Below are 26,167 nucleotides of genomic sequence, written 5' to 3' on the forward strand. Positions count from 1 at the left end.
TTCCTAGGAAGGCCAATTCTGCATACCTAGGAGTGTTCTTGGTGAGGGTGGAACGGACTCTCTGTGACAGGGAACTAGATGAAGGAGTCTTGAGAAGCTGATGTTCAGGAGTGGTCACAGGTCCCAGTAAACTCACTTCAAAGTTCAGACATATTTTTAAGAGAGGTGGGAAAAAAGAAGGCATCTTTTTAGATGGCTAGTTTTAAGCTGATTACCCTCTGAAGCACTTAAGAGCTAAGGTTAGACATCTAGCAAAGTCCCAGAGATCATTTTTGTCATCATTCTGTAACACACTAGTGTATCTTTTGAACTCAATGAATAGCTGACACGTCCTGATTTAGGCCATTCTCTAACTCCACACTTCACAAATCTAACATCTAAACATCTGACTTTTAGCTATACTAGAAGAAGCAATATGCTCCCTTAGAAGGAACTTGCAATAATGAAAGAATGGGTCTCCAATGCCAGTGAGACTGGAGTGAAACCAGCCTATTCATATAAAATTGTTGGTTAGCAATATAAATTGGCAAAAGCCTATAAGAAATTTAATAAATCAAGTTGGTAAAACATACCAAGACACATAAAAATGTTCAAGCCATTTAATTCAGTGATCCCACTCTTAGGAATTTATCATTAAGAGAAATGCTATATTGACTATAGCATTACTTGTAATTATGAAAAATTGAAAAATAATGTTAATACCTACTAGAACATTTAAGTAAATGATAAATAAGATTATACATGAGAAAAAGTTCTCACAACATGCTAAGTGAAATAAGAATGAATTATATTTAAACTATTATATATATATATATATATATATTTTTTTTTTTTTTTTTTTTTTTTTTTTAGACAGAGTCTCACTCTGTCACCAGGCTGGAGTGCAGTGGCGGGATCTCAGCTCACTGCAAATTCCGCCTCCTGGGTTCCAGCAATTCCTTGTGCCTCAGCCGCCCTGGTAGCTGGGATTACAGGCATGCGCCACCACACCCAGCTAATTTTTGTATTTTTAGTAGAGATGGGGTTTCACCATGTTGGCCAGAATGGTCTCAATCCCCTGACCTTGTGATCCGTCCGCCTCAGCCTCCCTCCCAAAGTGCTGGGACTACAGGTGTGAGCCACCATGCCCAGCCTATTATATCTATATTTAAAAAACATATATCCATATGGATAAAGAAAGGAGAACATGGAAAAGCAAAAAAAAATTACGATGGTAGAATTATACAAATTTTCCTTTAATGTTAGAATTTTCAAACAGCTCTAGCAAAGGCAGGAAGAGGTCATATGACTAAAACTAAAGAGAGAGTCAAGTCCCTGAAGAAGCACATCTTGGGCCTTACCTTTAATATCTGGTGTCTGTGGTGTTGAAAAGGCATTTGAGTTTTCAATGACATGTAGGGGGTCAATGTTCTCTTGCTCCACCATCATGAACTGACTCCAATACTCCAGAGGCAAGGAAAGCAGGCGCTCAACCACCTAAAAGCCAGCAAATCTGTTAGCAAACTTCCAAAGCTCAGGGCTTCTCAACTGTCTTTCAAGTTATCACATTACACAAGTTCACATACACACACACACGCACCTGCCTACCTTGGGTTGACGCTTGATGTCCTGTAACATTGTCACTGGGTCTGGATTGGGCACAGCATGGGCCACTATTGTAGGGCCAAAGACTTTAGCCAGATTGGCAACATCCATTTTAGTATGTGGACTCTGAGCCACTCTAAGCAAAAGAATATTAAATTAGAAGTCTTGCTCCTTGCTTAAATGCAGACCAAAATATAAATTCTATAAGAAAACAATTCATCCCTCATACTCCCAAACACTCAACCCACATTATCTTCCCCTTGGAAAAAAATTCCCTAACTCCCAGAACAAGTTTCTGCTGTACTCACCTCTGCAAGTGAATCATGAGGAAAGCTAATGTGTCCCTGTTGGCCTGGGGCAGTTCACCAACAGCTTGGTACATGGCAGCTATGCTGTTGTCTTCATCTGTGATTTCTGTAATTGAAAAGAAAGCACCAAGAGGCCTAGACTTCTTTCCCTTGACAGCGGGCTTCCAAGTTATCGACCACAAAGTCTCATCTATACAGTAAGCTTCTGAAACTCCTGATTAGTTCATGACTACATCAGACTCTAGTTTCATTAACAAGCAGGATACTGGCCAACAGCTCAATATTAGAAGTCAAAACTTTTAAAAAATCGGCCTTTGCAGTTAGGGAAAGCAGTTGGCAACTGATGTGCTAGGCAGACAGGCATACAATTGCAGTGACTACAATTACCAAGAAGGTATTCATTCATGAGACATATTTAAGGGCCTACGATGTGCCAGGTACAAGTGCTGAGGATAAAGCAGAAGTAAACAAAGCCCTTATCTTATGGAACCTACATTCTATTGGTGGAGTCAGTCAAAAAGCAAATACCTATCAGGTAGAGTGATACATAAATGAAGAAAACAAGGCAGGCAAGAAGCTAGAAAGAAATGAGAGCTGTTAATCTAGACAAGGTTGTCAGGAAAGGTGTTTCTGGGGACAAGGTATATGAAGAGAAATATGAAAGAAATAAAGGAGCAAACCATACTGTATCTAATGTAAGAGCATTCAGGTTGAGACAACAAATGTGAAGGCCTTAAGGTAGGGAGTAAACTTGGTATATTCTAAGAATTGAAAAAGCTCCAACCTAACTGGAGAGGAAGGAAAGAAAGGAAGAACACTGTACACAATAACGTAATGAGAAAGCAAGAGGATAGGCAAGGGTGACACGCATACAGTTACTCATCCATCAAACTACTTGAGCACCTACTATGTTTCAGGCATTGTACTAGGCAGGAGCTAATAAAAAGAGGAAGGTGGCCAGGTGTGGTGGCTCATGCCTGTAATCCCAGCACTTTGGGAGGACAAGGTGGGTAGATCACCTGAGGTCAGGAGTTTGAGACCAGCCTGGCTAACATGGTATAACACCGTTAACGCCTGTAATCTCAGCTACTCAGGAGGCTGAGGCAGGAGAATCGCTTGAACCCAGGAGGCGGAGTTTGCAGTGAGCCGATAGCGCCACTGCACTCCAGCCTGGGCGACAGAGAAAGACTCCGTCTTAAAAAAAAAAAAAAAAGAGGCTGGGCACGGTGGCTCACGCCTGTAATCGCAGCACTTTGGGAGGCCGAGGCAGGCAAATCACAGGGCAGGAGATCGAGACCATCCTGGCTAACATGGTGAAACCCCATCTCTACTAAAGATAGAAAACATTAACCAGGCATGGTGGCACACGCCTGTAATCCTAGCTACTCAGGAGGCTGAGGCAGGAGAATCGCTTCAACCTGGGAGACGGAGGTTGCAGTGAGCTGAGATTGCGCCACTGACTTCAGCCTGGGCGAGAGTGAGACTCTGTCTAAAAAATAAAAAATAAATAAAAAAATAAAGAGAGTAAGAAAAACTACTGCCGTGGAGGAATTCATATTCAAGTATTACATCTGCCCTTACCTGCTGCTTCCATAAAGGCTCTGTTAAGGCGAAAGGTCAGAAGAGGTTCTTTGAGGTTTCGAAGAAAGTCTTTTAGAAGGCTACAGATAGCATGGATATCATCCACTTTGCTGAGGAGGGGTACAGTTTTCACTCTGAGGAATTTCTCTTTCAGCTCTTTTACTGTGCGGTCACAGCCAGAGATCCTATACAGGCCTGTCTATTATCAAGATGACATTTTTATTTAAAAACCTCCGAATTAACACAAATAACAAATTCACCATCTCCTACAGTTGACTCTTACCTCAGTCAGACCTCTTTGCTCAATCTCATTTACACAATGCACAACAATGGAGGGGATCATTGGAGAAGTCTGGGACACAAAGTCTGCCAGCATTCCCTGGAAAAAAAAAAGAGCTTTAAATTATTATTTACGCCATGTAGACCAACAGATGAAGACCACATGCGAAGAACCACCTCCAATCTTATTCTCAAACTGGGACATCATGTCTACTTTTACATTCCTATTCCCAAAGCATATATTAAAACAGAGACTCTCAATTATTTTTCCTACCTCCACACCAGGACTGATTTATTATCATATATACCACACTTTTTCTTTTTCATATATACACCACACTGTTATGTGAACAAGGAATAAGACCACCAGCTATAATTACCTCCTTCTCATCCACTCAAGGACAGCAGAAAACAAGCAATAATGAGGTTACAGGTATAGCCTTTAATATAAAATAATTTATTACTCTAAACAGATTTTTTTTTCTAACAGAAGAAAGCTGGAACAAGAGAAAAAAATTGTGTATACTTTCATTATTCTCAGTAAAAAAAATTATTTAACATATCTTATCAGTTGATTATGACACAAACCTACCTGTAGGGGAGAACTCCATGGTTCTATATTAGAGTACAGAACATGTGTAAAAAAAATGTACAGGCGGCCAGGTGCGGTAGCTCACGCCTGTAATCCCAGCACTGTAGGAGGCCGAGGTGGGCGGATCACCTGAGGTCAGGAGTTCGAGACCTGCCTGACTAACATGGAGAAACCCTGTCTCTACTAAAAATACAAAATTAGCCAGGCATGGTGGCGCATGCCTGTAATCCCAGCTATGAGGGAGGCTGAGGCAGGAGAATCGCTTGAACCCAGGAGGTGGAGGTTGTGGTGAGTCGAGATTGCGCCATTGCACTCCAGCCTGGGCAACAAGAACAAAACTCCCTCTCAAAAACAAAACAAAACAAAACAAAACAAAACAAAATGTACAGGCATGGATAAGAACTTGTAAGATCAGGGGAAAATAATATTTGATTTGCTGAAGAGTAGGTAGGAAGATAGTCATTTTGATTCTTGCTAATGTTACTTACATAATAATTTTTTTTTTTTTTGAGATAGGGTCTTGCTCTATTCCCCAGGCTGGAGTGCAGTGGTGTGATCACAGCTCACTGCAGTTTCAACCTCCCCACCTCAAGCAATAGTCCAACCTAGCCTCCTGAGGAGCTACAAACACAGGCGCACACCACTAACCTGGCTAACTTATTTATTTATTCTTTGTAGAGATGGAGTCTTGCTTTGTTGTCCAGGCTGGTCTCAAACTCTTGGGCTCAAGTGATTTTCCTGCCTCAGCCTCCCAAAGTGCTGGGATTACAGGCATGAGCTACCACACTCAGCAATAAATAATTTCTTAATGGATTTAATCAGTTTGGATTAAACTGGTTAAATATTTGGAAATAAGCAACTTCATTTTGATAACCTATTATGAAGTATGTCTAACATAAGAGCAAGAATAAAAGATAATTTTATCACAGATAAAATTATATGATAGCTGAGATTTGCTTCCAAGTAATTCATTGGACAGAGTCAGGAGGAGGCAACGACAGTATTGATAAATCAAGAACAGACATAAAGGCTGGGTGCCATGGCTCACACCTAGAATCCCAACACTTTAGGAGGCCGAGGCAGGCGGATCACTTGAGGTCAGGAGTTCAAGACCAGCCTGGCCAACATGGCAAAACCCCGTCTCTACTAAAAATACAAAAAAATTAGTTGAGCATGGTGGCACATGGCTGTAGTCCCAGCAACTTGGGAGGCTGAGGCATGAGAATCACTTGAGCCCAGGAGACAGAGGCTGCAGTGAGCCAAAGTTGCAACACTGCAATCCAGCCTGGACAACAGGGAAACTCTGTCTCAAAAAAAAGAGAGACATTAAAAAAAGAATGGACATGACCAGGCGCGGTGGCTCACGCCTGTAGTCTCAGCACTTTGAGAGGCTGAGGTGGGCGGATCACTTGAGGTCAGGAGCTTGAGACCACCCTGGCCAACATGATGAAACCCCATCTCTACTAAAAAATACAACCAAAAAAAATTAGCCGGGCATGGTGGTGGTACATGCCTGTAATTCCAGGTACTTGGGAGGCTGAGGCAAGAAAATCGCTTGAGCCCAGGGGGGCGGAGGTTGCAGTGAGCTGACATCCTGCCAGTGCACTCCAGCCTAGGCAATAGAGCTAAAAAAAAAAAAAAAAAAAAAAAAAAAAAAAAAAAAAAAATGGACACAAGTTAGTAATCATGGAAGTTAAGTGATAAGAACCAGGGGTTAGTTATACTAATTTCTCTAGTTTTATATATGTCTGAAATTTTCCAAAATGGGATGAAGGGGAGGAAGGAAGGAAGAAGAGGCAAGGAGAAGCAGGGAAGAGCAAGAAGGAAAAAGGGGCGGGGAAAGAAGTTTGGTTTAGAAAGGTATTAGACAGACAAACCCAAACAGGACTCTTCTACAAGTAAGTATCTTACAATTCTAGTCATTATTTGTGGAAAGAAATATATTTGAGATGATTAATTTTAGAACAAAAACTGACACTAAGCCTTTGAAAGGCGAATAAAGAGGCCATAAAACAATGACGGCTTGCATAAGTCATACCTCTCCAATCTTGACAGGTGTTCCTATCAGGGTAGGAATGCAGGGAAGGGGACAGCGGTCCCGACATTCTGGATGAGAGACCACACGACAGTCTCGACACTTCAGAGATAATTTGCCAAATTTTATCCGCTTTCCACATGGAACACAGGATTCAGGTTTAATAACCTGGGATAAAACAGGGCAGAAGGAACAGAGTGATATGAATTAGAAAATTATCATCATAATCAACTAACTTTTTTTTTTTTTTTTTTTTGAGACCGAATCTCACTCTCTCGCCTGGGCTGGAGTGCAGTGGTGTGATTTCAGCTCACTGCAACCTCTGCCTCCCAGGTTCAAGCGATTCTCCTGTCTCAGCCTCCCGAGTAACTGGGATTACAGGTGCCCACCACTACGCCCAGCTAATTTTTCGTATTTTTAGTAGAGACAGGGTTTCACCATGTTGGCCAGGCTGGTCTCGAACTCCTGACCTTGTGATTCACCCACCTCGACCTCCCAAAGTGCTGGGATTACAGGCGTGAGCCACTGGGCCTGGCCTTTTTTTGTCTTTTTTTGAGACAGAGTTTCGCTCTTGTTGCCCAGGCTGGAGTGCAATGGCGTGGTAGAGGTTGGCTCACTGCAACCTCCACCTCCCGGGTTCAAGCGATTCTCCTGCCTCAGCCTCCCAAGTAGCTGGGATTACAGGCATGCGCCACCACGCCCGGCTAATTTTTATATTGTTAGTAGAGACGGGGTTTCTCCATGTTGGTCAGGCTGGTCTCGAACTCCCGACCTCAGGTGATCTGCCTGCGTCAGTCTCCCTAAGTGCTGGGATTACAGGCGTGAGCCACTGTGCCCAGCCATAATCAACTAACATTTATTGAGCACTTAGTATGTGCCAAAAAATTTTCTAAGCCCTTTAGACATATTTACATATGTAATTCTCACAGTAATCCCATAAAATAGGTTTTGTTTTCTTCATTTTAAGATGAGGAAACAGAAGCAAAGAGAGTTTAAGTAACTTGTTTAAGGTCATCCCACTGGAAGGCAGCAGTGTGTGATAGTGGAAAGAACTTGTTTACAAAGAGCAGAAAACTTGGATGTTGGCAGGGCATGGTGGCTCACGCCTGTAATCCCAGCACTTTGGGAGGCTGAGGCGGGAGGATCACCTGAGGTCAGTAGTTTGAGACCAGCCTGGCCAACATGGTGAAACCCCATCTCTACTAAAAGTACAAAAAATTGGCCGGGCATGGTGGTGGGCACCTGTAATCCCAGCTACTCGGGAGGCTGAGGCAGGAGGATTGCTTGAACCCGGGAGGCAGAGGTTGCAGTGAGCCGAAATCGCACCACTGCACTCCAGCCTGGGCAACAGAGTGAGACTCTGTCTCAAGAAAAAAAAAGAAAAAAAGAAAACCTGGATGTGAAATCTGTCACTTACTATCATGTGGCTCAAAAATGTCAGTTAACTCCTCTGAGCCTCAGTTAATTTGCTTGGATTTTTATAAGGAAATAAAATGGTACAAAAGCAAAACATTTTGAAAATCTTAGGTGATATATTCAAGAAAAAATGTAAACATGTGTCACTAAAAAGTACTAACAATGGGCCAGGCACAGTAGCTCATGCCTGTAATCCCAGGACTTTGGGAGCTGAGGCAGGGGGAGCACTTGAGCCCAGGAGTTCAGGACCAGCCTGAGCAACATAGCAAGACCAAGTCTCTACAAAAAATTTAAAAATTAGCCGGGCGTGGTGGCACACATCTGTATCCCTACTACTCAGGAGGCTGAGGCAGGAGGATTGCTTGAGACTGGGAGGTTAAGGCTACAGTGAGCTATGATTACACCCCTGCACTCCAGCCTGGGTGACAGAGTAAGACTCTGTCTCAAATTAAAAAAAAAAAAGTACTAACAATTGCTTCAGAAAAGTTGGTCTCTTTAATTTAGTATTACTCACAGAATGGAAAGAAACTTACCTCTGTAACCAATAGTTACTTCTGGAGAGTAAAATTGGAATGAGGAAGGAAATTTGACATTTAACTTTATAACACTAAAGTATTTAACTTTATTCCTGGTATTTATTACTTTCACAATTAAAAAATTAAAACACAAACAACAATCACAGATTTACCGTCTTAGAAACAAAGTCATGCAGGCGCATCCCTCCATTACTCTGTGGCGTGCCCACACTGTCTGTCTCAGTTCTTGGCTCCAGCTGCCTGCTGTTCAGGGTGGAGTCACTGTTCCAAGGTTGTAAAGTACCTAGAAAACAAGCAACTTTTAAGCTTTGTGTCTTAAGTATTTTGCTCCTTCTAAATTTTAGCTCCAATTTTAACTGGGAGATAAACAGTAATCTGTTATCATAGCCAAAAGTGAGAACTAATGGCTATGTAAAAAAACAGTTTCAAGAAAAACTAAAGTTATGCCAGTGGGCTAGCAATTCAAAGGTAAAGCATGACACAAGCAGTTCTCTGGTCCTCGGTATGCAGCAGTAAGAAACTACCCAATACATCCAATCCCCGCCTCCAGAGGGTTCTAAGAAACCAACTCTCCAAAATTTTGCTAGTTGTTTTACACAGGCCAGTTTAGTCACAAATTCAATGGACCTGTTTTCCTTCGGCTCCTGGTCCAATATGGCACAGTCTCAATAGTGGACACAGCTTCGATGGGCCCGCCATCATTGGGAACAGTCACTGTAGTTTTTGCAACTATGGATTCATTCCCCTGCAACAAAAGTAGTAATGAGGAAAGACAAACAAAGAATCTAACTTACCCTCCACTATAGGGTATTTTGGAGCAGGTAAAAAATTCCTTAGTCTTAGTCAAGACTTAAGACCCCAGTCTGATACTTTTTTTTTGAGACAGAGTTTTTCACTCTACCGCCCAGGCTGGAGAACAGTGGCGTGATCTCGGCTCACTGCAACCTCCGCCTCCCAGGTTCAAGGCATTCTCCTGCCTCAGCCTTCTGAGTAGCTGGGATTACAAGCATGCGCCACCACACCTGACTGATTTTTTTTTTTTTGAGACGGAGTCTCGCTGTGTCGCCCACGCTGGAGTACAGTGGCCCAATATCGGCTGACTGCAAGCTCCACCTCCCGGGTTCACGCCATTCTCCTGCCTCAGCCTCCCGAGTAGCTGGGACTACAGGCGTCTGCCACCATGCCCAGCTAATTTTTTGTATTTTTAGTAGAGATGGGGTTTCACTGTGTTAGCCAGGATGGTCTCAATCTCCTGACCTCGTGATCCACCCGCCTCAGCCTCCCAAAGTGCTAGGATTACAGGCGTGAGCCACCGCGCCTGGCCGACTGATTTTTGTATTTTTAGTAGAGACGGGATTTCGCCATGTTGACCAGGCTGGTCTCGAACTCCTGACCTCAGGTGATCATCCACCTGCCTAGGCCTCCCAAAGTGCAGGGATTACAGGCGTGAGCCACCACGCCTGACCTGAAACATTCTTATGTTGAAATCTGATGTTTGGCTGGGTGCAGTGGCTCATGCCTGCAATCCCAGCATTTTGGGAGGCCAAGGTGGGAAGATCACTTGAGCCCCGCAGTTCGAGTCATCCTGGGCAGCAAGGAGAGACTCCCCCTCTACTTTAAAAAGTAAAAATAAAGAAATCTCGTACCTAAGAAGATAAACATAGGTCATGGGGGTATATATTCAAGCAACTAAGACTCACTCTGACAGTTGTTTACTACATCAGAGTAATTCCATTCATAGGGATAAGGATCCTACTGCATAGAAAAACTTTAACCAAAGGCCAGGCACGGAGGCTCACGCCTGTAATCCCAGCACTTTGGGAGGCTGAGGCAGGTAGATCACCTGGTCAGGAGTTCGAGACCAGCCTGACCAATATGATGAAACCCTGTCTCTACTAAAAATACAAAAATTAGCCAGACGTGGTGGCATGCGCCTGTAATCCCAGCTACGTGGGAGGCTGAGACAAGAGAATCACTTGAACCTGGAAGGTGGAGGTTACAGTGAGCCAAGATGGTGCCATTGCACTCCAGCCTGGGCTACAAGAACAAAACTCTGTCTCAAAAAACAAACAAAAACTTTAACTAAACATCATGTCTCTCAAAACAATGCTGCAATGCTGACTCAGAGAAGTTTTAATGCTTGGGGCCAGTAATCTCTGTTACCTTGGCCTGACTATTCTTACCTGGTCTACTGCAGAGCCAATGGAACGAGTTTTCTTTACAGGTCCAGGGGGACCATCAACAAACTGTCGGCTAGTAGAGCGCTAGAAAGGAGACAAAGACCCGTAACTTTAATGCCAAGCAGATCTGAAGCACAGAAGATAAAATTATTCCATCAAACAACTTGGATACAGGTCCTGGGGATTAGGGCTACAGTAAATAACAAACAATGTGTTCTCTCTCTCTCTCTCTTTGCCTATTTCCACATGAAGAATAAGCTGTTTCAAAAGAATATGTTGTACAAAAATGCTCTCAGTGCCCTAGAAAAAATGAGCAAGCTATGGAGAAATTTAGATGACACCACCAGAAAAAGTACAGCTGTAATCCTAACTAAGGACATGAAGTCTTGGAAACACATTAAGTACCCTAAACAAGCATACACAGATAGATCTCTATATATCCCATTATATGAAGCTTATATTAGAGCACAAAAGTTCTGTGTAAAAATTCATATGACAATTCAAAACAAACTTAAGTTTATCCTTTTCCACTGTATGAATGAATTGAAATGCAGCCTAAACAGTGAAATGGACAGGATTCTGTCCTAAGTTACTACTTCAAAGAGTACCAGTACTGGTTGGGAGCAGTGGCTCACGCCTGTAATCCCAGCACTTTGGGAGGCCGAGGCAGGTGGATCACCTGAGGTCAGGAGTTCAAGACCAGCCTGGCCAACATGGTGAAACCCCGTTTCTACTAAAAATACAAAAATTAGCCAGGCATGGTGGCAGGCACCTGTATCCCAGCTGCTTGGGAGGCCGACGCAGGAGAATTGCTTGAACCCGGGAGGCGGACGTTGCGTTCAGCCGAGATCGCGCCATTGCACTCCAGCCTGGGAAATGAGCAAAACTCCGTCTCAAAAAAAAGAAAAAAAAAAAAAAAAAAGAATATCAATACTGTCCCCACAGCATGAATTCATCTGTAGTATGTGCTTAACAATGGCTAGAGCAACATGACAGGAATGCAGTATCATGGCAAAATTTCCAAAAATAACTCCATTATTACTTTGTTTTAAAAAAAGACTAAACAAATCATACATACCCTCTTTTCTCTCTTCTTCAGTTTGAAAGTCTTCACCAAAGAAGAGTCCCAATCCTGTTGACAATTACACTGTATTAATTTCTTTTTTTGGTTAGGCCATCCCTAAACCCTGTGCAAATAAATTTACAGAGAACTTTAAAGGCTTCTTCAGTCAGGCTACCTAACGTACAATTCGGGGAGGGTTAGAGAAGGGAAGGTCTCAAGTGTTGTAGCTATAGAGCTATAGTAAGTTAATGTGCTTTCTTTGAAAAATTGAAGCTATTATAATAAAATCAGGAATCAATACCACAGAGGCAAGAAGAGGTTAAAGAATCAAATTCTGCCATATTTCCAGTGGCTGATCCTTTATTTCTGATTATTTTTGTAATTAGTTTTAGAACTTACAGAATGTTAGGCACTATACTGATTGTATTAGATGTGATTCTTGCCCCCAAGGGATTGCCACTGTCTAATCAAATGCTCTGCATAATATTGCCACTTCACAAGTTCCACAGTTGCCAGGCGATGGCTCATGCCTGTAATCCCAGCACTTTGAGAGGCCAAGGTGGGCGGATCATGAGGTCAGGATATCGAGACCATCCTGGCTAACACGGTGAAACCCCGTCTCTACTAAAAAAATACAAAAAAATTAGCCAGGCGTGGTGGCGGGCGCCTGCAGTCCCAGCTACTCTGGAGGCTGAGGCAGGAGAATGGCATAAACCCGGGAGGCGGAGCTTGCAGTGAGCTGAGATTGCGCCACTGCATTCTAGCCTGGGTGACAGAGTGAGACTCTGTCTCAAAAAAAAAAAAAAAAAAAAAGTTCTACAGTTTAGGAACTTAGGCCCTAAAACGTGTCCACCACTGAAGAACTATTTGTCTTTTATTGTGGTCTCATTTCAATTCACCTATTTTAACTATTTGCATTCATTTTAGTAGTTACCTGTGATTTCCTTACTCCTGATCATCCCTGAAAACAGTATCTAGAAACAGTGGTATACAGCAAATAATAGCTTAGCTAAATAAATTTAACTTCCCCAAGTCATGGTCCAGTAATTTAGTTACTGGTTGTTTGATTCAGCTTCAGTTACAAGAAATATCGTATCATAGGTCTAGCTCAAAAATCAACTGATAATATGATCTAGTTTTATTATATATTCCAGACCTCCACTATATCATTCCCTATTTGAGAAAGGTGATGCCTAATATTTTTATCTATAAAATGGCCGTATTTTCCCTGGTCAAACACTGAATCTGAACAGAAAACTCCTAGCCATGTAACAAATAGTTGTCACCTGTTTTGCTATACCAGAAAACCAGTCACCAAAAACTTCCTGATTTGTTTTGTTTGCTAGTTTTCAGCTAGTAACAGAAAAGATGCACAAATCAATGAACTATATCAAAGACTGTATCAGGAGATGACCTTTTATGCAGAAGCATCACTGTAAGTTAAAAGAAGTGTGCCGCCCCATAAAAGCAGGGCAACAAATAGTTTAACATGTTAACCATTGTTGATGAAAGCATTATATAGTGCCTAGAAACTCTAATCACACTTTTCTGGCTGAAATCCCAGGACCTTGGTTTCCTTCTAATTGTGAAGTATGACTATGCTTTCCCCAAGAACCAAACTAATTCAGAAATAAGGCACAAGTCTATTTAAGAGCAGCAAATAAACCCTGACGACATACAGTCTTGCTAATATTTTTATTATTAGCTGGGGCTTTAATAAGTCAAAATATAATCAGTTAGTACATGTGGCACACAGAGATCTATTAAATGAACTCAACTTATGCCAAATTCTGAATTATATATTCTCACTTCAGAAACTAATATATAAGCCAGCCTCTTATAGCTCATGTGGATTTATATTTTAAATTGCTAGCTCAGAATCTATAACACATCAACTAATAAAATAGTAATATAGGATGTTCAGAAGAGAAGACAGGAGAGATATTCCTGGGGAAGCAGAGGTAAGAAAAGTAGGTAATTCTCAGAGATCAAATGTTTATTACCAGTGATTCATCAGTCTTGTCAAAGCTGATATCTGATAAAATGGAACCAGATTCATCAATGGTTGATAGTCTAGATCAGTGAAACAATACAACGTTAGACATGGTAGACTGTGGAATGTAAAATTCACCAACATTCAGAACAAGTCCTACTGGTCAGGTAACATCAGTTAATTTCATAGCAAAATCTTCACTATAGAGACAATTACAATCTCAAACCCTGTGGTAGGCTACTTTGTATGGTTTCCACGGAGGAGTGTGTGTGCATGAGTACAGGTGCAACACAGTTGCTTTTTCAGCAAAGACCTTATAAGGGCAGTTGAAAGTTAGTCAGGGTTATGGGTGCTATTCTCTACCGAGTTTGTATTACAGGCTACTCCAAATTCACAAAATCAAGGGAATGAAGTTTAATTTGATCCCAACTGTGCTGGTTTCTACAAACAAGAGTATTACCCAACACTGACTTTTTAAGAAATTAAGCCTGTACATCTTCTTAGTTATAAAGATTCCCCATAAAACAACCAGGCAACAAAATAAATAGCTGACCTTTCCCTACATATTGTACTGGGGATGTTAAATTCAAAGCCTGGTTGAGACTATTTTAAACAGTGGTGCAGTGGAACCAAAATTATTGTCTGGTCTTGGCTCACAGAGGCCTTTCTAAACCAGAAGAGCTGTAAGAGCTCTCTGGAGAGTAAACACTGAAAGTATTGCTGAACTGCCACTTTCACCTTTGGGTTTCTTAGCAATGCACAGGATTAGTTATTGATGTGCAATTTAGCACCAACATCAAAATTGTATCCATGGTGAAACAACATCCTTAGGAAAGATTTAAAAATAAAATAAAATAAAATATACAGGGACATCCCTGTGCCTTTATTCCCCACCTACTCTCCCCACAAAATCTTTTTCTGCTTTTTTCAGCACACATTCTAGAAGAAGTATATTTAAGAATTCAGATAACAAGAATATCTGACAGCCTGTGTTGCTTGTGATAGGATAACAACAGATGCAGTTCCTCCACCTTTTGTTCCCAGCATTGCTGCTGGATGGTTGGCCTCTGTTGAGAAAAGCCAGAGCTGATTTTTGCTCCTCGCTTAGTTGAATGCTGCCAGATGTGTCACACATGAGCATCTCTCGAATCAGCTGAATCTGTCGTTCCTACAGACCAAAGCAAAGTAAAACATCATAACTAGCCAGGGGAGAAAGCTTCACCTCAAGTTTATGGGACAGGCAGACCAGAAGACATTAAAATGCAGCATTATGCAAATGGACCTTCAGGAAGGCTGCTACACCAATAGCATATTAATTCACATCAAACCCAGATTGTGTCTCTGATTTCTGACTGGTAAAATGAACTACATCTAGAACAGCGAAGTTTCTGCTACAAGACTTTTGGATTAACCTGCTAATCCAAGAGGAGAATAATGCAAAATGAGAGTCCCAAAATAGATTTCACATAGCAAAAACACTTTAGTGTCATTTTATCAGGACAAATATTGGCTTCTACGGATCAAAGCAGCCACCCACCTCTCAAAGTAGTGGAGCAAAATGCATTAAAATGGATACAAAGCTATAATGCACTGGAACCAGACAATTTGAGTTTACTGAGGCATCTAACACTGTATACCAAGATGGATTAGTCCCTCCCAGTAAAGGCTTTCCTTTGCATTATGACCCATCCTGGCACATCAAAATGATAGTGTTCTGTGTCAGTCACATTGCTCAACTGGTTGAATACATCTAGCCTTTTACCCTGAATTAGAGAGGGGTGATGAAAAGAAGAGTCACAGTTGTCTTGCCTGTATGTATGACAAAGTACCAGCTACTCATGTAAGGATGGATATTCCGGGTAGCACTTAAAATAAACAATGAAGGATGGCCAATAACTTGTGACAGATCAAGTACGTTAGGATCTCCCTCCCTCCCTTTTCCTCTAATTCTTTAAGTTCTCATTTGAAATCTGTCTGTTAAGTAAGTTTCAAGTCTAAGTGACAAAAACATTTAAATTTCAAATTATGAAGAACAAGATTCCTAGTCTGCAATTTCAGCTCTAATCATGGGCAAGCTGTTAAAGAACAGGTCACTTTCAGTTCTTTAATGTGGAAGAAGAAACTAGGTATATTTGGCAAGTGGAAACTGTCAGACAATGCCTTCCCCCTCCTGCATCATCACTGTTCTAGCACGGAAAACAATACACACCAGCTTTTCGCAGTCAGCCTCAGCTCTCTGTCTCCGTTTGATCTCTACATCCACCTGATTACGTGCATGCTTCAGCTTAACATCCAGAGCACTTCGCTCAGTCTCTGCTTTCATCAAAAGATCCTTGTATTTCCCCAGCTCATGGTCAGTCCTCTGCCACTTTTTACGGAAATCCTCAAAGTCCTTCGCCAACTGGATAAATTCTGAGGAAAGGGGGAATCTTTAATAATTCAAGCACCAAACAGAGTATAACTGCTCTAATAAATGAGTCCTACGGTTAGCTTTATTTGAAATTCATAATTAAGGAACCAGCTGAACTATGGGCAAATCCAGCTGAAAATAACTAGGAGCAGATCCTGGATATGTTTGTCACTCTGATGAGAACTTTGTGGGTAGCAATTCCTATTCAATAGGCCACTTACTTTTGGCTTAGCCAGTGGCATCTGCTATGGAATATGTAACTCATTAGTCACCTGGCTCCAGATGTAACACTAACACTGAAAGCTCCTGAACAGAAGGCAATCAAAGGGGGATACCTTTGGGGCAGCTGTCATGCACCAGGACAGTTACAGCTATAAAACAAAAACAGTTTCCTTTACAGTCACGCATTGCTGCACCAGAGAGATGTTAAACAGCAAATTCAAATGTAACTGCTGTAATATGCTCCAGTAGATGTAGATTAATATTACAGATGTCTAGACCTACAATTCCATTTGGCTATATAATTATACAAATATTGATTTGAAAGTAAAAAGCCAATTTGCTTTTGCTGTTTAACACTGCCCTGAAGGGTATGTAAACATTCCAGTTGAAAAAAAAAAAAACAGGAAGAGAAGATCAAACTAGCTTTTGGAACATCCCTGATAGCAGAATGTGAAGTCTCTTCAAATGTCTGCAAAGAGAACATCACTTCCAAGGCAGCATCTCAAAGGAAGAAGATAACCCTGTTGGCATTCATTCTTATCTCCTGCTATTGGCAAAGCTGTTCTGCAATGTATTTGCAAAAGTGCCTTACAATTTTCTAGTTAACCTCCGTCTATCTCTAAGGATCACTCTCCACCAACATCAAGGAAGAAGGTCTCAAGGTGTACATCTGCTGCTGGTCAAACTAACCCAGTTAAAACTGAAACTAGGCCAAATTCACACACAGCTAGCAGATTCTTAGGTAGTAAGGGCACTTTTCCCCTATGAATTTAACCTAAAAGCATAGAAACAATACATAGTCCTTTTTAAACAATTTTAATCATTTGACCAAATATCAAACTTACAAATCAGGATACCAATTTGTTCCAGAAAAACCAAGTAATAAGGAAACTTTAGTTTTTACAAACCACAAATTTCAGCAAAATAGGTTATTATGACCTAGTTATCTTAAACAATGCGGATATCAACAATTAAAAAAATATTACAATTCAAATAGTTTTAAGAAATAATATGCTGGGTTAGTCTGGAACATACTACTTTTTTGTGGGTTTTTTTTTTTAGCTTAAAGAAAAAAACATATATGTTTGCAAACTAAATACCGTATGCATACACACTCAAAATATTTACCGAACTGAAAAACAATTTTGAGAATAAAAAGATTTTCATCTGACCTAATTTTGCTGGTTTGTTTGTTCTTTAGGATACTCCTTTTATTAAATTACTGCTTCAGCTTAGTTTAAGTCAGACCCAAAGCAGAACATTTACATACCTGATTAATATATTACTTTTTGTGTGTGCAGGTGAGAAATGTGAAAAAAAAAAAAAAAAAAAAAAAAAGATATTACTTTTTTTTTTTTTGAGACAGAGTTTCACTCTTGTTGCCCAGGCAGAAGTGCAATGGCGCAATCTTGGCTCACTGCAATCTCCGCCTCCCAGGTTCAAGCAATTCTCCTGCCTCAGCCTCCTGAGTAGCTGGGATTACAGGTGTGTGTCACCATGCCCAGTTAATTTTTGTATTTGTAGTAGAGACGGGGTTTCACCATGTTGGCCAGGCTGGTCTCAAACTCCTAACCTCAGGTGATTCACCTGCCTTGGCCTCCAAAAGTGCTAGGATTACAGGTGTTAGCCACTGTGCCCAGCCTACTTTTCACTTTTGAGACAGTCTTCCTCTGTCACCCAGACTGGAGTGCAGTAGCACAATCTTGGCTCACCGCAACCTCCGCCTCCCAGGTTCAAGCAACTCTCCTGCCTCAGCTTCCTGAGTAACTGGGACTACAGGCGTGTGCCATCACACCTGGCTAATTTTTGTATTTTAACTAGAGATGGGGTTTCACCACGTTGGCTAGGCTGGTCTCAAACTCCTGACCTCAAGTGATTGACCTGCCTCAGCCTCCCAAAGTGCTAGGATTATAGGCATAAGCCACCATGCCCGGCCGAAAGATACTATTTTTATGTACAATTCTGCTATGAGCAAAGTTTGCTGGGATTGGGTCAGAAGGCATTTTGGGCCATAGATCAGAAACAATTTTGATGTTGAAGACCAATAATCATGGCACTGTTTTGGTCAGTTGGTGAATCACAATTCAGCTTGGTACCAGCCTGCCATGAAGTGCACATTAAAAGCTTTATAAAATTCAGGCCGGGCACGGTGGCTCATGCCTGTAATCCCAGCATTTGGGGAGGCTAAGGCAGGCAGATCACTTGAGGTCAGTAGTTCAAGGCCAGCCTGGCCAACATGGTGAAACCCTGTCTCTACTAACACAAAAATTAGCTGGGTGTGGTGGTGTGCGCCTGTAATCCCAGCTACTCGAGGAGGCAGAAGTCGCAGTGAGCTGAGATCGTGCCACTGCACTCCAGCCTGGGCAACAGAGTGAGATGCTGTCTCAAAAAAAAAAAAAAAAAAAAAGATTTATAAAATTCAAATTACAGTACCTCCTTTAAAAAGTTACGTACACCCTAAACTATGAAGTGCCCCTATCAAAAAGGAGGAAAGAGAAGGGAAATTTCCTCAAAACAAATTGAGGGTGATCTTTGATTTATTTAAAATTTAAAAATCAGGATTTGGTTCATAGCTCAGCAAGCAAATTTAAGTGGGTCCAGAAATCCTGATTTTTTTTTTCCATTTACTCCCGGAGGCCTTTGAACAGGCTCTTCCATTTGCCTTCCCTACTACCCTCTCTAAGCTTCTTAAAGACAAAGACCCTATGTCTCCTTTGCTCTTTTATCTCCAGTGTTGTAACCTGCCTAGCACACAGTAGACACTTGAAATAATCTGTTGAACAAATGAATGAATGAAAAGCCGCTGTTCAAATTAAATTTACCAGCATCCAAGACCACCTTACCAGTTTAATCAAACTTACCTCCCACCACTATGCAATAAATACCCCTCTAGCTAAACCAGTCTGTCCCTGCCCCCAGAACAGAGGCATTCCTGCCTTCTCACTTGTGACCAAGCTATGCACTCCAAATGGAATGCCCTACCTATTACATACCCATTTACCAAGTCCCATCTGGTCTGTGAATCTTTTCCTAATCAGTTTGCTACACACTAAATTTTTCTAGATTACCCAAAAGCATATATTTTGATACTTGTACTATCTTCTGTTTCATGAGAAAAAAATCCTGTCTCTGAAACTAAAATACCATAATCTTCTTGAAGACAGGCAATATGTCATATATACTTCATTATTTCCTACTATGCATAGTGTAGCACAAACCTAGTATGTCACTGGCACACAACAGGCACCTGATAAATGTTAAATTATACTTATTCCTAATTTATACACCAATGATTTTTTTTAAAAAGCTCAGGCAGCTTATGAAAAATTAAAAATAGAACATAAAAACTGTGTGGACTGGAGAAAACAAGACAACAAAATATGCTATTAAAGTCATCTTTTTTAAAATATTAACTTTCATTCTGATCTTCCTGTAACTTGGACTTAGCTCTCTTTTTTTAACTTTTTTTTTTTTTTCTTTTTTAAGAGATGGAGTCTCACTCTGTTGCCCAGGCTGTAGTGCAATGACATGATCTTGGCTGACCACAACCTCCACCTCCTGGGTTCAAGCAATTCTCATTCCTCAGCCTCCCAAGTAACTGGGATTACAGGTGAATGCTACCACGCCCGGCTAACTTTTTGTATTTTTAGTAGAGACGGGGTTTCACCATGTTGGTCAGACTGGTCTTGAACTCCTGACCAAGTGATCCACCTGCCTTGGCCTCCCAAAATGCTGGGATTACAGGTGTGAGCCACTTTGCCCGGCCCGGACTTAGCTTTTTAAAAAACAATACAGGCCAGACACCGTGGCTCACGCTTGTAATCCCAGCACTTTGGGAGGCCAGGACAGGTGGATCATCTGAGGTCGGGAGTTCGAGACCAGCCTGACCAATATGGAGAAACCCCACCTCTACTAAAAATACAAAATTAGCCAGGCGTGTTGGCACATGCCTGTAATTCCAGCTACTCGGGAGGCTGAGACAGGAGAATCACTTGAACCCGGGAGGTGGAGGTTGCAGTGAGCCGAGATCTCGCCATTGCACTCCAGCCTGGGCAACAAAGAGCGAAAAATTCTGTCTCAAAAAAAAAATGAATACAAAAAAGAGAAAGAGGAATGAAGTTAATGATGAAAGGCAAGAGTAAGGAGTCAAGGGATACTTGGGCATGTGGGGAATTCCTAAGGATCTAAGAAGAGTACAGGCTGGGCACAGAGGCTCACGCCTGTAATGCCAGCACTCTGGTGGGCCAAGGCAGGTGGATCACTTGAGGTCAGGAGTTCAAGACCAGCCTGGCCAACATGGTGAAACATCGCTACTAAAAATACAAAAACTAGCCAGGCTTGGTGGCATGCGCCTGTAATCCCAGCTACTTGGGAGGCTGAGGCAGGAGGATCACTTGAACCCACGAGACGGAGGGTGCAGTGAGCTGAGATCACACAACTGCACTCCAACCTGGGCGACAGAGTGAGACTGTCTCAAAAAAAAAAAAAAAAAAAGAAAAAAGAGGACAGACACTGGGGTGGATGCACAAACCTGATTCTAGTGTCTAAAAAACACAGGGTCACTTTAGTTCCTCAAAAGCCAACATTTGCCCAGGTGCGGTAGCTCACACCTGTAATTCCAGCACTTTGGGAGGCCGAGGTGGGAGGACCGCTTGAGCCCAGGAGTTCAAGACCAGCCCAGGAAACATGGCAAGACCTTGTCTCTACAAAAAATAGAATTAAAACAAAAGTAGTGTTTATAGTAGTTTGGGAGACAAAATAAATAATAAAAATTCAAAATAAAATAATCAAAATAAATATAAAAATTAGCCGGTGTGGGCCGGGCATGGTGGCTCATGCCTATAAATCCAGCACTTTGGGAGGACGAGGCAGGAGGATCATGAGGTCAGGAGATCGAGACCATCCTGACTAACACGGTGAAACCCCGTCTCTACTAAAAATACAAAAATTAGCTGAGCGTGGTGGCGGGCGCCTATAGTCCCAGCTACTTGGGAGGCTGAGGCAAGAGAATGGCGTGAATCTGGGAGGCGGAGCTGGCAGTGAGCCGAGATCGTGCCACTGTACTCCAGCCTGGGCGACAGAGCGAGACTCCGTCTCAAAAAAAAAAAAAAAAAAAAAAAAAATTAGCTGGTGTAGTGGCATGAGCCTATAGTCCCAGCTACTCTGGAGGCTGAGGTAGGAGGATTGCTTGAGCCCAGGAGTTCAACGCTGCAGTAAGCTATGATTTCACCACTGTACTCCAGCCTGGGCAACAGAGCGAGACCTTGTCTCCAAAAAAATAAAAACTAGGCTGAGCATGGTGGTTCACACCTGTAATCCCAGCACTTTGGGAGGCCAAGGCGGTTGGATCACCTGAGGTCGGGAGTTCAATATCAGCCTGGCCAACGTGGTGAAACCCTGTCTCTACTAAAAATACAAAAATTGCCAGGCGCGGTGGCTCACGCCTGTAATCCCAGCACTTTGGGAGGCTGAGGCGGGTGGTTCACGAGGTCAGGAGATTGAGACCATCCTGGCTAACATGGTGAGATCCCGTCTCTACTAAAAATACAAAAAAATTAGCCAGGCGTGGTGGCACATGCCTGTAATCCCAGCTACTCGGGAGGCTGAGGCAGGAGAATCACTTGAACCTGGGAGGCAGAGGTTGCGGTAAGCCACGATTGTGCCATTGCACTCCAGCCTGGGTAAGAAGAGTGAAACTCCATCTCAAAAAAATAAAAAAAATAAATAAATAAATAAAAATAAAAATACAAAAATTAGCCAGGAATGGTGGCAGACACCTGAAATCCCAGCTACTCAGGAGGCTGGGGCAGGAAAATTGCTTGAACCTGGGAGGCAGAAGTTGTAGTGAGCTGAGATCGTACCACTGCACTCCAGCCTGGGCAACAGAGTGAGACTCTGTTTCAAAAAAAATAAAAAATAAATGAGGGCCGGGCGCGGTGGCTCACCCCTGTAATCCCAGCACTTTGGGAGGCCAAGGTGGGAGGATCACTTGAGGTCGGGAGTTCAAGACCAGCCTGACCAACATGGAGAAACCCCGTCTCTACTAAAAATACAAAATTAGCCAGGTGTGGTGGTGCATGCCTGTAATCCCAGCTACTCAGGAGGCTGAGGCAGGAGAATCACTTGAACCTGGGAGGCGGAGGTTGCAGTGAGCTGAGATTGCGCCATCGCACTCCAGCCTGGGCAACAAGAGTGAAACTCTTGTTTCAAAAAATAAAAATAAAAAATAAAAAAAGCCAACATTCCAAATTAGAGATCTGGAGAAGGAGGTAAAATGTACCTCTGTTTTATAATAGAAATAAATGGGAAGGTAAAAATTTGCTTATACAATAAAATCAGGATTTCTGTAAAAATAAATATCTTGGGAGATTTTTGGCATAATCATTTCCCAAAGTATTTTCACAACTAATATCTCAATTTATGCCCAAATCCTCATAGCACTCCCACAAAGAAAATAAAGATGTTTAAATTCCTATTTTATAGGTGGAAAAACAGACACAGAAATAACAGGTAAAAGCCAGCACTAGTTATCAACACTCTTAAACCACAGATTCTTCCCTCTGCCCCCATATTCTATCAGCTGCCTCCTTCTACAGGTCTTATTATCACAATCTCTTCTACCCATTTCTCCCTCCTTCCATCTTCATAACCACCATTCCAGTTAGGGCTGTTATTGCCTCTTTCCTGAGCTATGACAACCATGTCATTCCTAGTCAGTGTACCAGCATCCACCTCTAATGCAGACTACACCTCTGCCAGGGTAATCTTCCCAAAGCACGGTTCTGATTATGTCACACCCCCTTACTCCTATTTCCCTCAAGTCCCACACCCTCTTGCTCTGCTCAGGCTGTCGCCTGATCTAAAATACCCCCTTTCATCTCTGCCTCTTGGGATTCTACCCTACAGCTAAAGCTCAGCTCAAACCCTTTCCTCCATGACACCATTTAGTCATCCCTTTCCCTCAACTCAAAAATGCTAGAAGCCCTGATAGGTTCTCACAAAATATTTGCTGAATGAATCTGAGTTTTAATATCTCTTATTCCCTACTCTAGTCCCCACCACACTCTGATCCATCTTCTGAGATGATGTGACCTCAAAGAGAAACCTAATTAGTATGCCATTGTGGTTACTGAGCTGGTACCAGATGACAGGGTCATGCAGCAGCTATTAGAGAGAGAAAATAGAATATTGTTTTGAAAGGCCTGTAAGTGGATAAGAGCTATTAAAAACATCAATCAATTCAAAAAAAATATTGAATGGCATAAGCAAGATACCACAAGTAAGTACTATAGAAATAAAAAAAGTTCAAGACACAGTTCTTACATTAACACCAGTGAGGCTGACTTGAGAGCAACATTTACTAAATTAGGTATTAATGAAAATCTGAAATAGGACAGGATGGTAATACAAAGAGAAGCTGGTATAGAATAATTCCCTTGGATCACATGTCAGTACCATCATCCCCATTATTCTTTCTTGCTAATTTATTTCCCAGACTGTTCCTTTCTTAGCACCTCCTTTTTCTCCCCAGCTCACCACCCCATCTCAATTCTCTTTATTATTTCCCCCCAGGAATTGAAGTCTCACTTTCACCCAGGCGGGAGTGCAGTGGCACAATCATAGTTCACTGTAGCCTCAAACTCCTGGGCTCAAGTGATACTTCAGCCTCCTGAGTATCTGGGACCACAGGCATGTGTCACCACACCCAGCTAATTTTTTTGTTTTTGAAACAGGGTCTCGCTCTGTCCCAGGCTGGAGTACAGGAGTGTGATCTCAGCTTACTGCAACCTCTGCCTCCCCAGTGATCCTCCCACCTCAGCCTCCCAGGTAGCTGGGATCACAGGAGCATGCCACCACACTGGCGGGTTTTTTTGTTTTTGTTTTTTTTTCTGTAGAGATGGGGTTTTTGTGGCCAGGTGCTCATACCTGTAATCCCAGCACTTTGGGAGGCTGTGGTGGGCTGATCACTTGAGGTCAGGAGTTCAAGATCAGCCTGGCCAACATGACAAAACCCCATCTCTACTAAAAATACAAAAATTAGCCGAGTGTGGTGGCGGACACTTATAATCCCAGCTACTCAGGAGGCTGAGGCAGGACAATTGCTTGAGCCAGGGAGGTGGAGGTTGCAGTGAGCCGAGACCACACCAGTGCACTCCAGCCTGGGTGACAGAGTGAGATTCTGTCTCAAAAAAAAAAAAAAAAAGAGAGAGATGGGGTTTTGCCATGTTGCCCAGGCTGGTCTCAAACTCCTGGACTCAATCGATCCACCCATCTCAGCCCTGCAAAGTGCTAAGATTACAAGCATGAGCCACTATGCCCGACCGCTAATATTTTCAGAGACAGTCTTGCTATGTTGCCCAAGCTGGTCTCAAACTCCTGGCCTCAAGTGATTCTTCTGCCTCAGCCTCCTGAGTAGCTGGGAATACAGGTGCAAACCACCAAACCTGGCTCTCAATCCTTAATTATTTAGCATCAAATATATGAAGTAGGTGAAAGCAAATGCCTAGTATCTCCTTCAAAAAGAAATTATGGACTGGGCCTGGTGGCTCATGCCTATAATCTCATCACTTTGGGAGGCAGAAGTGAGAGGACTGCTTGAGGCCAGGAGTTGGACACTAGCCTGGGTAAAATAGGGAGACCTTATCTCTACAAAAAATTTTTAAGGCCAGGCGCAGTGGCTCACGCCTGTAATCCCAGCACTTTGGGAGGCCGAGGCGGGCAGATCACGAGGTCAGGAGATCGAGACCATCCTGGCTAACACAGCGAAACCCCGTCTCTACTGAAAATACAAAAAAATTAGCCGGACGTGGTGGCGGGCGCCTGTAGTCCCAGCTACTCAGGAGGCTGAGGCAGGAGAATGGCGTGAACCCAGGAGGCGGAGCTTGCAGTGAGCCGAGATCGCACCACTGCACTCCAGCCTGGGTGACAGTGCAAGACTCCATCTCAAAAATAAAAAAAAAATTAAAAAAATTTAAAAAAAAATTTTTTTTAAAGTAGCTGGGCATGGTGGCGCAACCTGGGTGACAGAATGAGATTCTTAAAAAAAAAGAAAAAAGAAGAAATTATGAATTTTTCCCACTTCAACTGAAAATGCTTTATAGAACACAAAGAAAATCCAGGATAAAAAAAAGACAACTACTACTCTAAAGAAAAAAGCAACATCCTAGTAAATTTTTCCCAGTTCATGGCACAGAAAATAGTGCCAACTATTCAGTGGAAAAAGAATCTTGATAATAAAAAAGCAGCCGGGCACGGTGGCTCACGCCTGTAATCCCAGCACTTTGGGAGGCCGAGGCGGGCGGATCACCTGAGGTCAGAAGTTCAAGAATAGCCTGTGCAACATGGCAAAATCCCGTCTCTACTAAAAATACAAAAAATTAGCCGGGCGTGGTGGCGTGTGTCTGTAATCCCTGCTACTCGAGAGGCTGAGACAAGGAATCGCTTGAACCCGGGGAGCAGAGGTTGCAGTGAGCCGAGATGTCGCCACTGCACTCCAGCCTGGGTGACAGAGAGAGACTCCATCTCAAAAAAATAAATAAATAAAGATAATAAAAAAGCCTGGCTAAAACCTATTAAGAGCAGCTATAGAAAAGAATTTTAGTGACCATTTAGAATGAGTGCCCATTAGGCTTTGACCACGTAAGTGATCACTGCTTTCTTTTTAGGTAACCCAAATGGAAAACAACTTTAAGATTGGAAAATACTTCAGCTTTGTAAAAATCCCAAATTTGAAATCTGTTTTTCCTTTGGACAGGCCAGCTCAGAATGACTTACGGACTTCATTTCCTTCACTGAGAATCTCCACCCGGCGCACAAGCTGCTCAAACAGATTCCGCACATTCAGCATCATAGTATCCATCTTTCTGCCAAGAAATCAAATATACATTAGGGGTCCTGCCTTCTCGCCCACAACAAAAGATTCTATAGCAATCCAGCCATTAGTGACCAACATCTGGACTCTTCCATTT

At 42.4% G+C, this 26,167-nt stretch overlaps 1 protein-coding gene across 29 annotated transcripts in view; it reads right to left on the reverse strand.

Annotated features, from left to right (window-relative positions):
• RACGAP1 (Rac GTPase activating protein 1) overlaps positions 1–26,167 on the reverse strand; it is a 44,279-nt gene that overhangs the window by 1,496 nt on the left and 16,616 nt on the right. For 10 of the 29 annotated variants that reach the window (XM_011538238.1, NM_001320003.2, NM_001320006.2 and 7 more), the window contains 15 exons: positions 25,974–26,058; positions 15,777–15,979; positions 14,599–14,735; positions 13,578–13,647; positions 11,590–11,643; positions 10,515–10,595; positions 8,959–9,076; positions 8,484–8,614; positions 6,383–6,547; positions 3,757–3,852; positions 3,474–3,672; positions 1,893–1,998; positions 1,588–1,720; positions 1,341–1,476; positions 27–135 (listed from right to left, as the gene is read on the reverse strand). In XM_011538238.1, coding sequence (XP_011536540.1) covers positions 27–135; positions 1,341–1,476; positions 1,588–1,720; positions 1,893–1,998; positions 3,474–3,672; positions 3,757–3,852; positions 6,383–6,547; positions 8,484–8,614; positions 8,959–9,076; positions 10,515–10,595; positions 11,590–11,643; positions 13,578–13,647; positions 14,599–14,735; positions 15,777–15,979; positions 25,974–26,058 — 1,823 coding nt within the window. Of the gene's footprint in view, positions 1–26; positions 136–1,340; positions 1,477–1,587; positions 1,721–1,892; positions 1,999–3,473; positions 3,673–3,756; positions 3,853–6,382; positions 6,548–8,483; positions 8,615–8,958; positions 9,077–10,514; positions 10,596–11,589; positions 11,644–13,577; positions 13,648–14,598; positions 14,736–15,776; positions 15,980–25,973; positions 26,063–26,167 lie in introns of all 29 variants that reach the window. The other 19 variants (XM_024448958.2, NM_001320004.2, NM_001319999.2 and 16 more) reach the window with 4 other exon arrangements.

This window comes from Homo sapiens, chromosome 12 (genome assembly GCF_000001405.40).
Source record: "Homo sapiens chromosome 12, GRCh38.p14 Primary Assembly".
NCBI lineage: Eukaryota > Metazoa > Chordata > Mammalia > Primates > Hominidae > Homo > Homo sapiens.